Raw genomic sequence first — 14,374 nt, 5'->3', positions numbered from 1 at the left:
AATTCGTTGTTAGTAATCATTTCAGTGTTGAAGTCTGCAAATGGTTTTAATTTTTTTACCACTTGAGACAGATTTAGGTTTTGTTCTATAACATGCATATACTTGTTATTCAAATGACTTTCCTGATTGGAAAAAGAAGGATATGGCATTATAGTTGGCTTATAGGGCACTCCCCCAGAAAAGCATCCAGTATGTCAATATGGTAAATGTGGTTACTTGCGTGACATATTTGTTGAAATGCCAGATCTGTAATGGGTATATAAGAGTTTGTGTTTTTTCTCCTTGTCTAAGGAACTAAGGATTACTATAATCTATTATTTATAATACAGTATTCAGTATTATGCGTGTTTTTCAATTGTCGTATAGCCATCCTGTTGGGTCTTTTCAGAATTACTGGATCTTCAGCCTTTACCAATCACAGCTTTGGGATGTAAAGCATATGAAGCCCTGTACAACTTCAGCCACTTTAACCCTGTACAGACACAAATATTTCATACATTGTATCACACGGATTGTAATGTCCTACTTGGAGCACCTACTGGATCGGGAAAGACTGTTGCAGCTGAATTAGCCATTTTCAGAGTCTTCAACAAATACCCTACTTCAAAGGTCTGTTGAAAGAATCATACTTACATTTAATTAGAAAAGACAGTTCATAATCTCTAAACTAGACAGTTCTAAATATATTGGCAGGGTCTAATGAATAGATTTGTCACTCTCAGTGAATTTCCCAGGGGACCAGATCAGTACAGATATACCGTGAAGATATCATGAGTTTGGTTATATACTACCACAATATAGTGAATGTCACAATAAAGCAAGTCATACAAATTTTTTGGATTCCTAGTGCATATAAAAATTCTGTTTATACTATACCATAGCCTATTAGTGTGTAATAGCATTATGCCTAAAAATATACATAGCTAAATTTGAAAATACTTTATTACTAAAAAATATTATCAATCATCTCAGCCTTATAGTGAGTCTTAATCTTTTTGCTAGTGAAGGGTTTTGCCTCAATGTTGATGGCTGCTGACTGATCATGGTTGTGGCTACTGAAGGTTGGAGTAGCCGTGGTCATTTCTTAAAATAAGACAATGAAGTTTGCCACATTGATTGACTCTTCCTTTCATGAAAAATTTTTCTGTAGCATGTGATGCCGCCTGATAGCATTTTACCCACGATAGAACGTCTTTCAAAATGAGTCAACCCTCTCAAACCCTGCCACTGCTTTCTGAACTAAGTTTATGTAATATTCTAAATCCTTTTTGTCATTTCAGCAATGGTCACAGTATCTTTGTCAGTAGATTCTATCGCAAGAAACACCTTTTCTTTGCTCATCCATGAGAAGCAACTCCTCATCTGTTCATTTAATCATGAGATTGTAACAATTCAGTTATATCATCAGGCTCCACTTCTAATTCTAGTTCTCTTGCTGTTTCCACCACATCTGCAGTGCCTTTCCCTATTGAGGTCTTGAACCCCTCAGTCGTCCGTGAAGGGTGGAATCAACTTCTTCCTAACTCCTGTTAATGTTGATATTTTGACCTCCTTCCAAGAATCATGAATGTTCTTAATGGCATCTAGAATGGTGAATTCTTTCCAGAAGATTTCCAACTTACTCTGCCCAGGTCCATCAGAGGAATCACTATCTACGGTCTTATGAAACATATTTCTTAAGTAAAAGGATAGGAAAGCCAAAATTACCCCTATATCCCTGGAGTACAGAATAGATGTTATGTTAGCAGGCATGAAAACAACATTCATCTCTTTGTACATGTCCATCAAAGCTTTGGAGTGTGATTAGATGTATTGTCAATGAGCGTCACATTTTGAAAGGAATCTTTTTTTCTAAGCAATAGGTCTCAACAGTGGGCTTAAAATATTCAATAAACCATGCTGTTTAGTAGATATGCTGTCATCCAGGCTTTGTTGTTCCATTTATAGAGCACAGGCAGAGGTGATTTAGCATAATTCTTAAGGACCCTAGAGTTTTCAGAATGGTAAATGAGCATTGGCTTCAACTTCAAGTCACCAGTTGCATTAGTCCCTAACAAGAAAGTTAGCTCCTCCTTTGAAGCTTTGAAGTCAGGCATTGACTTCTCCTCTCTACCTGTGAAAGTCCTTGATGACATCCTCCTCCAATATTAGGCTATTTTGTATACATTAAAACTCTGTTGTTTATTGTAGCCACCTTCATCAATTATCTTTGCTATATTTTCCAGATAACTCGCTGCAGCTTCTACATCAGCACTTTCTGCTTCACCTGGCACTTCATAGAGGTGAATTCTTTAAACCATGTGAAACAAGCTTCAAACTTTTCTTCTGGAGTGTCCTCACCACTCTCAGCCTTCACAGAATTGAAGAGAATTTGGGGCTTGCTCTAGAGTAGGCTTTAGGTTATGGAAATATCGTGGTTGATTTGATCTTCTGTCTACACCACTCGGACTTTCTCCGTATCGGGAATAAAACTTTCACTTTCTTATCATTCATGTGTTCAATGAAGTAGCACTTTTCATTTCCTTCAAGAACTTGTCCTTTGCATTCAAAACTTGGCTAACTCCTTGGTATTAAGAGGCCTAGCTTTTTGGCCTATCTCAGCTTTCGACATGCCTTCCTCCCTAAGCTTAATCATTTCTAGCTTTTGATTTAAAGTGAGAGACATGCAACTCTTCCTTTCACTCGAACATTTAGAGGCTATTGTAGGGTTATTAATTGACCTAATTTCAATATTGTTGTGTCTTAGGGAAGAAGGAGGCCTGAGGAGAAGGAAAGAGATGGGGGAATGGCTGGTCAGTGGAGAAGTTAGAACACACACAATTATCAATTAAGTTTGTCATCTTATATGGTGTAGTTCATGACACTACAAAACAATTACAATGATAACATAAAAGATCACCGACCACAGATCACCATAACCGATATAATAATACAGAAAAAGTTAGAAATATTGGTAGAATTACCAAAACGTAACAGAGGCATGAAGTGAACACATACTGTTGGAAAAATCAATAGAATTGCTTTTGATAGAATTGCTCGATGTGGGGTTGCCACAAACCTCCAATTTGTAAAAAAACAATATCCGCAAAGTGCAGTAAAATGAGCTATGCCCATATTAGGATAATTTGCAGCAAGAAAATTTACCTTAAACTTTGTAGTCCTCCAGTTGAATTTCTAATGTATGTAGTGACACACAAATCCTTTCCTCATTGTAAGATTTCTACAATTCATAGATAATTTCACTGTGAGAAACCCACTTCATAGGCAAAGTTAAACAATACAAAGTAATTCATAATCAAATCTTTTCTGTATGAAGAAAATGCTAGTGCTTTAATATAGTTTGATTATACATATTAAATATAGAGTAGCTTTTATATGACTTCTACAAATGGCCATGATATTATTTAATATCAAATACATTACAAGTCAAGTAAGTATTGCTTTAAAGCTTTCTTGAAGCATAATTTTTTAACTCTTTCCTAGTATATATTATTTTTAATAAAAATTATGTATATTTAAGGTATACAATGTGATGTTTTGATATACATTGTCAAGTGATTACTACAGTCAAGCTAATTAACATACCTATCACTTCAAATAGTTATCTTTTTTGTGATGAGAACACATAAAATCTATTCTCTTAGCAAATTTCAAGTATATAATGCAGTGCTATTAACTGTAATCACCATGCTGTATATTAGGTGTCTAGTACTTATTCATTCATCATAAATGAAACTTTATACCTGTTGACCAGTATCTCCTCATTCCCCCATCCTCACCGCTGGTAACCAATATCCTACTCTTTCCTTCTATGAATCCAACTTTTAAAAATTCCATGTGTAAGTGAAGTTATGCAGTATTTTTCTTTCTATGTCTGGCGTATTTCACTTAACATAATGTCCCTTGGGTTCATCTATATTGTTGAAAATGGCTGATTTCATTCTTCTTTAAAGCTGAATAATATTTCATTGTGTGTGTGTGTGTACATATATATCACATATATATATATACACACACACATATATATATTACAATTTCTTTATCTATCTTGAGGCACTTAGATTGTTTCCATATTTGGGCTATTCAAAGTAAAGCTGCAATGAACATGGGAGTGCAGATATCTCTTTAAGATACTGATCTCATTTCCTTTGGATATATACCCAAAAGTGGGATTGCTGGATAGTTCTATGCTTAATTTTTAAAGAAATTCCAGATTGTCTTCCATAATGGCTGTACAGTTTACATTACCACCAATCATGTACAGTAACAGTTACCTTTTCTCCACATCCTCACCTACATGTGTGTTATTTTTTTCTTTTTTCTTTTCTTTTTTTTTTTTTTTTTTGTTTTTTGAGGAGATGGGGTCTCGCTGTGTTGCCCAGACTGGCCTTGAACTTCTGGGCTCAAGCAATCCTCCTGCCTCAGCCTCCTGAGTAGCTGGGACTACAGGTTTGTGCCACATGCCCGGCTGTCTTTTGTCTTTTGGTAATAGCCATTTTAACAGGTGTAAATTGATATCTTATTGTGATTTTAATTTGCATTTCCTTGATGATGTTATATTGAGCACCTTTTCATGTATCCAATGGCCATTTGTGTGTTTTCTTTTGGAAAAAAATATGTATTCAGATATTTTGCCCATTTTTAATTGAATAATTTGGGTTTATCTGCTATTGAGTTGTGTAAGTTTCTATTTTGGATTATAACTTTTTATTAGATATTTAGTCCCCGCTTATCCTCAGGTGATACATTCCAAAACCCCGATGGATGCCTGCAACCTGATGGTACTGAACCCATTTGGGTAGGGGGAAGGGAGAGATAAGGAGAGGATGGTTAAAGGATGCAAAATTACAGCCGAATAGAAAGAATAAATTCTAGTGTTGTATACGACTGTAGAAGGACTGTAGTTAACAATAATATATAATGTGGTTTCACATAGCTAGAAGAAGGATATTGAAGGTTCCCAACACAAAGAAATGATAAATGTTTGAGATGATGGATATGCTAATTACCCTGATCTGATCACTATACATTATATGTATCAAAACATCACTATGTATCCCATAAATATGTGCAATTATTATGTGTTAAGTAAAAACAAATAAAAAGTAAAACAAGAAATGGTATAGTAGTGCAATACTATGTTCTTTATAAATATGTACTTAAGAAAAGTGTACTAAAATTTAAAAAACACATTTTATTCATGTTTTCCACCCACAAATTTAATACCTTTTCCATCTTAACCAAGCACTTATCGTGTACTGTGGCCATAATTTTTGCAGCTTAAGGTTCAACATCAAAACTGGCACAAATTTCTTTTTTCTTTTTTTTTTTTGAGACGGAGTTTTGCTCTCGTTGCCCAGGCTGCTGGAGTGCAATGGCGCAAACTCGGCTTACCGCAACCTCCATCTCCCGGATTCAAGCGATTCTTCTGCCTCAGTCTCCCGAGTAGCTGGGATTACAGGCATGAGCCACCACGCCTGGCTAATTTTTGTATTTTTTTTTTTTTAGTAGTGACGGGGTTTCTCCATGTTGATCAGGCTGGTCTGAAACTCCTGACCTTAGGTGATCCGCCCACCTTCGCCTCCCAAAGTGCTGGGATTACAGGCCTGAGCAACCGCACCCAGCCTGGCACAAATTTCTTATGATTTCCTTCTTATGATTTCACAGATAGAATGTTTGTTCTTACCACAGATCTTAGCAGTCTCGGCATATGATTTTTTTTTCTTTTATTAAGTCAAGAACTTTCATCTTTTCACTTGAAACACTTTGTCTTCTCCTTGGCAAATCCGAGTTGCCAGTATCACTACTCTTGTGCTTTGGGGCCATTACTAAGTAATGTAAGGGCTACTTGTACAAAAGCACCGTGATACTGCCACAGTCTTTCTAGTAAACAAGACAGTTACTAAGTGACTAGTGTTTGGGGAGTGGCTACAGCCTGAATACTCTGGACAAAGGGATGATTCATGTTCCAGGCTGAATTGAGTGGGACAGTGTGAGATTCCATCATGCTACTTAGAAGGGTACATAATTTAAAGCTTATGAATTATTTCTAGAATTTTTCATTTAACATTTTTGGACCACAATTGACTACAAGTAATTGGAAGCGTGGAAAGGGAAGGCATTAAGACAGAACTAGTGTATATGGTTTGCAAATATTTTCTTTCGTTTTGTCATTTCTTTCATTTCACATTGTCTCTCTGTTGATTTTATTTATTTATTTATTTTCCATGTAGAAGCTTTTTAGTTTGTTGTACACCTATTTGTTTATTTTTGCTTTTGATGCCATGTCCCAAAAATCATCGCCAAGACCAACATCGAGGAGCTTTTTCCTTATGTTTTCTTCTAAGAATTTTGTAGTTTTAGATCTTATATTTAATTATTTAATCCATTGTGAGTTAATTTTTGTATATGGTGTATGGCAGTAGTTCTTTTACATGTGAATATACAGTCTTCCCAACATCATTCATAGAAGAGAATATCTTTTGCTTATTGTATGTATGCTTTAGGCCCTTGTTGAAGATTAGTTGACCTTGTTTGTGTGGGTTGATTTCTGGGCTCTTTTCTGTTCCACTGGTCTGTGTGCCTCTTTTTATGTCAGGTCCATACTTCCACACTGTTATGATTACTGTAGCTTTGTAATATAATTTGAAACCAGGAAATGTGATGCGTCTGACTGGTTTTCTTTCTTAAAATTGCTTTGGCTATTCAAGGTCTCTGTGCTTCCTTGTGAATTCTAGGATTTTTTTTTTCTATTTCTGTGAAAAATGCCATTAGAATTCTGATAAGGATTGCATTTAAACTGAAGATTGCTTTGGGTTGTATGACCATTTCAACAATATTAATTATTCCAGTCCATGATCATGGGATATCTTCTCATTTATTTGTCTTTTCTTCAGTTTCTCTTCAATGTTTTATAGTTTTCATTGTACAGATTTTTTACCTCTTTAGTTAACTTTATTCCTAAGTACTTTATTCTTTCTGGTGCTATTGTAAGTGGGACTGTCTTCTTTTTTTTTTTTTTTTTTTTAGATAGTTTGCTAACAGTATATATTCTACTGGTTTATATATGTTGACTTTGTGTCCTTCAAGCGTATTGAATTTGTTTATTAATTCTAACAGTTTTTTTATGTAGTATTTAGAGTTTTCTTGTTCTTAATTTTGTGAGTACATCACACTAAAATAGAAACATTTACAGAGATGTTGTGATTGGAATTATGGGCTAGTTTCTTCATCATTTATGATTTCAGGAATGTCTTAGCATCCTTTTGTAGTGTTTCCTAATTAGTGGCTTTTCTTCCCTACTTAACCCTAAGTTTTCCTACTTTTCAGTCTCTCTAATATGTGGTTATTGATCTATAGAGACATGTTAATATAACAGTAGAGCTCTACTCTAAATTAGAAACATAAAGGGAATACATTTTGTATAGGTTTGGATTACTATAGACCAGCTTTTATTTATTTTTTTGAAACCTGAATTATACTACTAGCATCTTCATAAAATCTGCATTAAAATTTAAACAATAGTTTATTTCTCTTCAAAACTTCAACATCAGTACATTTATTCATGAGTTACATACAACTCAAATAAATATTAATCATAATAATAGAAAAAATTTTTTATCAGAACCCTAATTTTCTCTTATAGTGTATTATCTCATAATTTGTTTTGTTTTTATTATGTAGAATATAATTTCATAGTAAAATGCCTGAGGAAAATACCTCTGATGCTTTTTTAAAAGTAATTTAAATTCATCTATGTTAATATTTTTTATGAATAGAATGTTTGTGATATGTTACATTTCTGTCTTATTTTGGGTAAATGTAGTTTGAGTTAATGACTTTTTCCCGTTGATTTAAAAATTTGAGTATTCAGAATTAAAAGATACATTTTCAAACCACACTGTCATATTTTGACAAATTTTTTGGAGTTTACTTTTATTTCAAAATGCTATCACTATTTTCATAAGAGTATTTTTGGCTATTCTCCCCTTTTTAGGCGGTATATATTGCACCCCTAAAAGCCCTAGTACGTGAAAGAATGGATGATTGGAAAGTTAGAATAGAAGAAAAACTTGGTAAAAAGTAAGTTCTTACTTTTACTCAAAAGATACGCTTTGAATTGACTAAAAGGACCAGGAAATAAGAGTTGAATAAAACTGTTGAATGGTTTTACAGTGATTTTCATAGTCTTTTATTTAACTGCTGAATGGTTTTACATTGATTTTCATAGTCATTTATTTAAAGATATGTACCTACTATTAAAATGATATCAATATTCCCATTGTTTTAAGATTGAAAATGAAATCTCCTAAATTACTTAATGTGAGTACTTTTATTTGGCAGGATAACTTTTTCAAAATATTTTCACTCTAAAACAAAACAAAAATAAGTTCTGCCTCTCTATTTTTTTCGTATTTTGCAGAGTAGCTTCCAGAAACTGCTTAGAAGGCATTTTGCATGTAAATTATTTGTAAAAAAGCAGAAGTTCTTTGAAAAACATGATGTGGGGTTTTTTTCATTAATAATTTAATATACTACAAGGTTATTCATTGCAGTATTATTTTAAATAGCAAAAGATTACAGAGAAACGAATTTCCAGTAGAGCATCAGTAAGTAAATTATAGTACATTCACACAATGTAAAATATTGTATTACTCTGTAAAAAAAACTATATGAATTTTTTTATACGGAAAGAATGATCTCCAAAGATAATGTAAAAAAAAAAAACAAAAAAAAAATATAAGTATCCTAGCTCATGTTTTTTCAAAATGATAAAGAATATGAACATGTGGTTCTTTTCAGAATGAGAACTAGCTGTCTATAGGATAGGGATGTTATGGAGACCATTCCCTGTATTCTTTGAACCATGTGAATATAGTCCATATTCAAAATAACATATAAAATGTAAATCTTTAAAATAAACAAGAATAGGTAAATACTTTGTGAACATTATGCTTAGAGGAACAAATTTTGCCCTTTTTCTTATTTTCCAAGTCTTAACACAGATTAGAAATTATATTAGGCTGGGCGTGGTGGCTCATGCCTGTAACCTTGGCACTTTGGGAGGCTGAGGCGGGTGATCACCTGAGAAAAGGAGTTGGAGACCAGCCTGGCCGACATAGTGAAACCCCATCTCTACTAAAAATAAAAAAGGAGCTGGAGGTGGTGGTGCATGCCTGTAATCCCAGCTACTTGGAGACAGGAGAATCACCTGAACCCGGGAGGTGGAGGTTGCAGTGAGCTGAGATCAAGCCACTACACTCTAGCCTTGGTGACAAAATGAGACTCTGTCTCAAAAAAAAAAGAAAGAAAAGAAATTATTTTAGTAATTACTTAAAATTTGATGTTAGCCCAGAGCTAATCCTATGTAATTAGGAATTCTTAGGTAATTCCTCTAGATCTACATAGGTTTTTCTTTTCCTTCTCTCTCACTATATGACTGTGATCTGCTTATAATGAGTTGGTACATATTTGCTCTGGCTTATCTTGTTTTCATCCTAATACATTTCATTTTGGCTATAAAATCTATAGAAAATTCCAATCTAAGGAAAGAAATGAGCTTGCACACAATCTAAATTACACATAATTTTAATTAAATTTACACATAATCCTAAATATTCTTAATGAATGCCTTTTTTTGTCTCCATAAAGTAACACTTTCCTTCATTAAAAAAAATTTTATTCCAACATAGGGACAAGGAAGTATGAGTTCAACTTTATAAAATCACCTAGGATGGAGTTTCTATAAACATAATTAAAGCAAAGTTTGATATCCTTGTATATCTGTATAAAAGTTAGATATGTCAGTGATTGGAATTTATATGACCTTCATTTTATGGCAAGAAATTTTCTTAGAGTTCTTAAGAAATGTACATTTTGGACTCAACTTGGAAAATTTCAAAAATCAAAGGTAGATAAAGTAATTTTAAGCCTTATAAAATTTTATTTTAAAAGAGATAGGTTTTTGCATTTCCAAGGTCATTTGTTACCTGAAAAGTTTCTGGGATCATTGTTATATTTCCCTCCAGAGTTATTGAACTAACAGGGGATGTGACTCCTGATATGAAATCCATTGCCAAGGCTGACCTTATCGTCACTACGCCAGAGAAGTGGGATGGAGTCAGCAGAAGCTGGCAAAATAGGAACTATGTTCAGCAAGTCACTATTCTCATCATAGATGAGATCCATCTGCTTGGTAGGTACCACTGTATCTAAAGCCAGTTTACAAACTTTAACTTTGTAAAATATTAATTATTAGTATTTTTAATTTGCATGTAATATTTATATATATTTCTAGGGCACAATGTGATTTTTTGATGTATGTATATAATGTGGAATTATTAAATCAAGCTAATTAACATCTATCACCTTACATATAAATTGAGGTGAAACATAAAAAATTTTCTCTTAGTGTATTAATCTGTGCTCACATTGCCATAAAGAAATACCTGAGACTGGGTAATTTATTTTTAAAAAGAGGTTTAATTGGCTCAAGATTCTACAGCTTGTACAGTAAATGTAGTGGCTCCTGCTTCTGGGGAGGCCTCAGGAAGCTTTCAATCATGACTGAAGGCAAAGCAGAAGAGAGCTTCTTACATGGCAAGAGCAGGAACAAGAGAGCAAGGTGGTGGGCGAGGTGCTACACACTTTTAAACAACTAGGTCTCATGAGAATTCACTCACTGTCATGAGAATAGCACCAAGAGGATGGTGCTAAGCCATTTAGGAGAAACAGCCCCCATGATCCTATCACCTCCTACCAGGCCCCACCTTCAACATTGGAGATTACAGTTAAACATGCAATTAGCAATTTTGCAATTTAGCAATTTTGAAATATATGATATATTTTTATTAACTGTTGTCACACTGCTGTACAATTGATCTGACAAACTTATTTCTCCTGTCCAACTGAAACATTGTACCCTTTGACCACCAACTCTCTATTCCCTTCTCTTGTGACTCCAACCCATGCCCCTAGACTCTGGTAACCACGTTTCTACTCTACTTCCATGAGGTCAGTTTTTTTTAATTCAGCATCTAAGTGACATCATGCACTGGGAGTAGGATTGCAGAATCCTTTGGTAGTTCTAGCTTTAGCTTTTTTTTTGTTTTTTTTTTTGTTTTTGTTTTTTGAGGAAGCTACAAACTCTTCCTTTTGTGGTTGCTGCAATGACCAACACAGGCTTGTTAAATGATTAACATTGATTTTTCCCTATTTTCTAGGGGAGGAAAGAGGCCCTGTTCTAGAGGTCATTGTATCTCGAACAAATTTTATCTCATCACACACAGAAAAGCCTGTTAGAATAGTTGGACTATCTACTGCATTAGCTAATGCCAGAGACCTTGCTGATTGGCTCAATATTAAGCAGGTATGTAGAAGATTGATAAATTATGCATTTATTTAGTAGTGTTACTTTGATGATTCCTTTTAAGAGATATTATAACCTTATAAAATTCAATATAAAAATTGAAAATGGTTTCTCTCTCATATTTACTCTAGATGGGCTTGTTTAACTTCCGACCATCAGTACGCCCAGTTCCACTGGAAGTTCACATTCAAGGCTTTCCAGGTCAACATTACTGTCCTCGTATGGCTAGTATGAACAAGCCTGCATTTCAGGGTAAGCTTCAGATTCTTGGAATAAAATAGTAACCATTGTTTATGGTAGCTATCAAATATCTTCTAATTGGTGTTGGTTTCTTTGAAAGGATGATACTGGTCCAGCTTCTACGTATATCTAAAACTGTTTGTCTCAACTGTTAAGGAATACAAATATATGTTAAATTACCTAGTGAAGATTGGAGCGATTTCACAAATGGTAATGACTTTGTAGTTGAATAAAAGTATGTAATTAAAAAAAGTTATCAGAGTTTTCTTAATATTAATCAAAGTGTTTTTATGATAGTAGCTTGGACAGATGAGAAATGGAAGCTACAGGTCAAAAACATCTCATAATCATTTTTATGAGAAATCATAAAACTTAGAAATTTCAGTACTTTAGTACAGTGCTTCTGTTTTTAGTTTTTCCTCTTCTAACAAATTAGGCAAACAGGAAAGATTTAAGAATAGCACTCCTATTTTATTGAAACATGTTTTATTTGGGCTGCATAAAGAATATTTATTATATCAATTAAAAATAACCTCAAAAATAAATTCTCAAATGTGAGCTGCTGTTGATTGTGTGGTGACAGTTGTGAGGTGACTTTTTAGCTGCTGTAATTAGCCTTATGACAGAAGCAAAGTATTGATTGTGAACTAGAGACCAATCTTGGCAGTTCAGATTATTTACACCTCCACAGAAGCATTGTACAAAATCACTAATGAACAATAAATCTGCCGTGAGCTGTTCAGCCACACCTGTTCTTTCAGCAGCAAAAATCCATTAGATGTTGAGGTTTAAAGAAAGACAAGAGATCCATTTATATTTATGTGTCCAAATGATATCAATATTGTACTAATATGTGTATTTTAAATGGTGTATCTCTAATATGATTTATCAAAGCTTTATCATTTACATTCTGTAACATTCTGATAAACAATAAAAGGGTGAGAAATAAGATAAATGAGTTTATTTTTCATAATATATATTGTTGAAATTGCATATATCTATATGGAATGACTGCATACCATTGATGGAAAGGAAGTATTTTGTCTTATATAAATCAATAGTAAATAACTAAAGTACTTACACTTCCATAGAAATGGTATCAGCACAGCAGCTATACTTATGTACTATTTATTATACCTGTAGTGATTACTATATTTCTTTGAGTTTAGAAATATGATTGTGTGATAGCTTTATTTCTCATAGTTAGGATGTAAATAAAGTCAAGGTCATGTCAACATTTCCATTATAAACCTTGTTTCCCAGCCCATAAAAAGAAATTCTGCAGCTCACATTTCAAACAAGAAATTACAAAGAGGTTGAACTTTTTATATAAAATTTTTAAATATCTCTGACTGTTTTAAGAGAGTTGTGTAGACCTAAATATATATTCTACTCGTGGCATCTTATCAGCTTTTTGGAGCCTATGTAAAGCAAAAAACAAACAAACAAACAAACAAAAAACCTCATTTCAAGATAAGCCAAGTGATTTATGTGGCTCTTTAATTATTTTTAAAGATTTGATTTACAAAATTTACTTCAGTCTTGTTACTCTGGTTTGTGTTGACCAGAGTCATCTCATCTTCTTTGTGTTGACTACCATGTCCCATTACTCAGATACTCATTCAGGCATAGTATTCTCTTCAGCCCTCTTCTACGTTATCTTGTCTGCCTTTCTCACACATATGCTTTTAAAAAAAAATGGAGGGAAAACTTTCTTCTGATTTATCTCTTAACCTGTTTACTGGTACAAACTTCTCCTAATTTTTCTATCACTGATAACAAAAATAAAAGAAACTTTTTGTGGTCTTTCTAGACATTTTCCGTCACTTGACAGGACTTGATTTTCTCACCAGACCCCAGGACCAGTTAACTCTGTAATATCACTGCTTAGGCAAACACAAATAGCTGAGAAACACAACTTAGTACAGAAAACTCAATCTAAGATTTAGTGTCCATGTATAGCTCTTAATGGAGAGTCTCAGTCTTTAAGTTTCTCCTTCCTTGGCAACTCAGAATAGAACTTGGACCCAGCATAATTAAATCTTTTCTCTCCTAGGCAATATACTCTCTAGGTAGGGCCATCAACCTTTCTTTTCCTATTATCTGTCTAATATGCTGCCAGATCCATGTAGTACCTGCAATAATGCCACATTTCATGCCTAAATTGTTTACATCATTAGTTTTCATGTATCCATTTGATATCCTAATGAAATTCATATTCTGGGGTTAAGTATCTTTCCATTTTATTTCCCACAACTTTTCAACAGCAATTAGAAGCCATTCTCCAGCCAAACCTGTTTTGATATTTGTCTCATCAAGACGTCAAACTCGTCTTACTGCTTTGGAATTGATCGCCTTCCTGGCTACTGAAGAAGATCCAAAGCAGTGGTTAAACATGGATGAAAGAGAGGTAAGCAACATATTTTATCTTCTACTACTTACACGTTTCAGGTTGTATTATATTAGAATGATCATTACATATGTAATTGTATTATAGGGAAAGAAGAAATTCATAATACCGCCACCTTACCACACTATTAATATTCTGTTATAGTTTGTTCTACTATAGTCCCACTTAATATTTATTTTGTATATTCATATTTATAATTTTTTCCTTTAACGTTATCACCTGTGTATATTGTAACATTCAATCATTTTCATATTCTTTAAGTATTCACTGCCCTTACTGAAGTTAAAATCAATTTTGCAAAATTTGGGTTTTAAAAAATATATAATAATCTTTTTTTAATTTTAGGAAGCACTAAT

The 14,374-nt window shown here is 33.5% G+C and overlaps 1 protein-coding gene across 5 annotated transcripts in view; it reads left to right on the top strand.

The window, feature by feature from the left end:
- The window catches only part of ASCC3 (activating signal cointegrator 1 complex subunit 3), a 373,136-nt gene that overhangs the window by 242,120 nt on the left and 116,642 nt on the right, over positions 1–14,374 (top strand). For all 5 annotated transcript variants that reach the window (NM_006828.4, XM_011535394.4, XM_047418108.1 and 2 more), the window contains 6 exons: positions 389–609; positions 7,997–8,082; positions 10,029–10,195; positions 11,223–11,368; positions 11,500–11,620; positions 13,876–14,018. In NM_006828.4, coding sequence (NP_006819.2) covers positions 389–609; positions 7,997–8,082; positions 10,029–10,195; positions 11,223–11,368; positions 11,500–11,620; positions 13,876–14,018 — 884 coding nt within the window. The remainder of the gene's footprint in view (positions 1–388; positions 610–7,996; positions 8,083–10,028; positions 10,196–11,222; positions 11,369–11,499; positions 11,621–13,875; positions 14,019–14,374) is intronic.

The sequence above is a fragment of the Homo sapiens genome, chromosome 6, assembly GCF_000001405.40.
Source record: "Homo sapiens chromosome 6, GRCh38.p14 Primary Assembly".
In the NCBI taxonomy this organism is placed as follows: domain Eukaryota; kingdom Metazoa; phylum Chordata; class Mammalia; order Primates; family Hominidae; genus Homo; species Homo sapiens.
The sequence above is the reverse complement of the archived record's forward strand: the minus strand, read 5'-3'. Positions and strand labels throughout refer to the sequence as shown.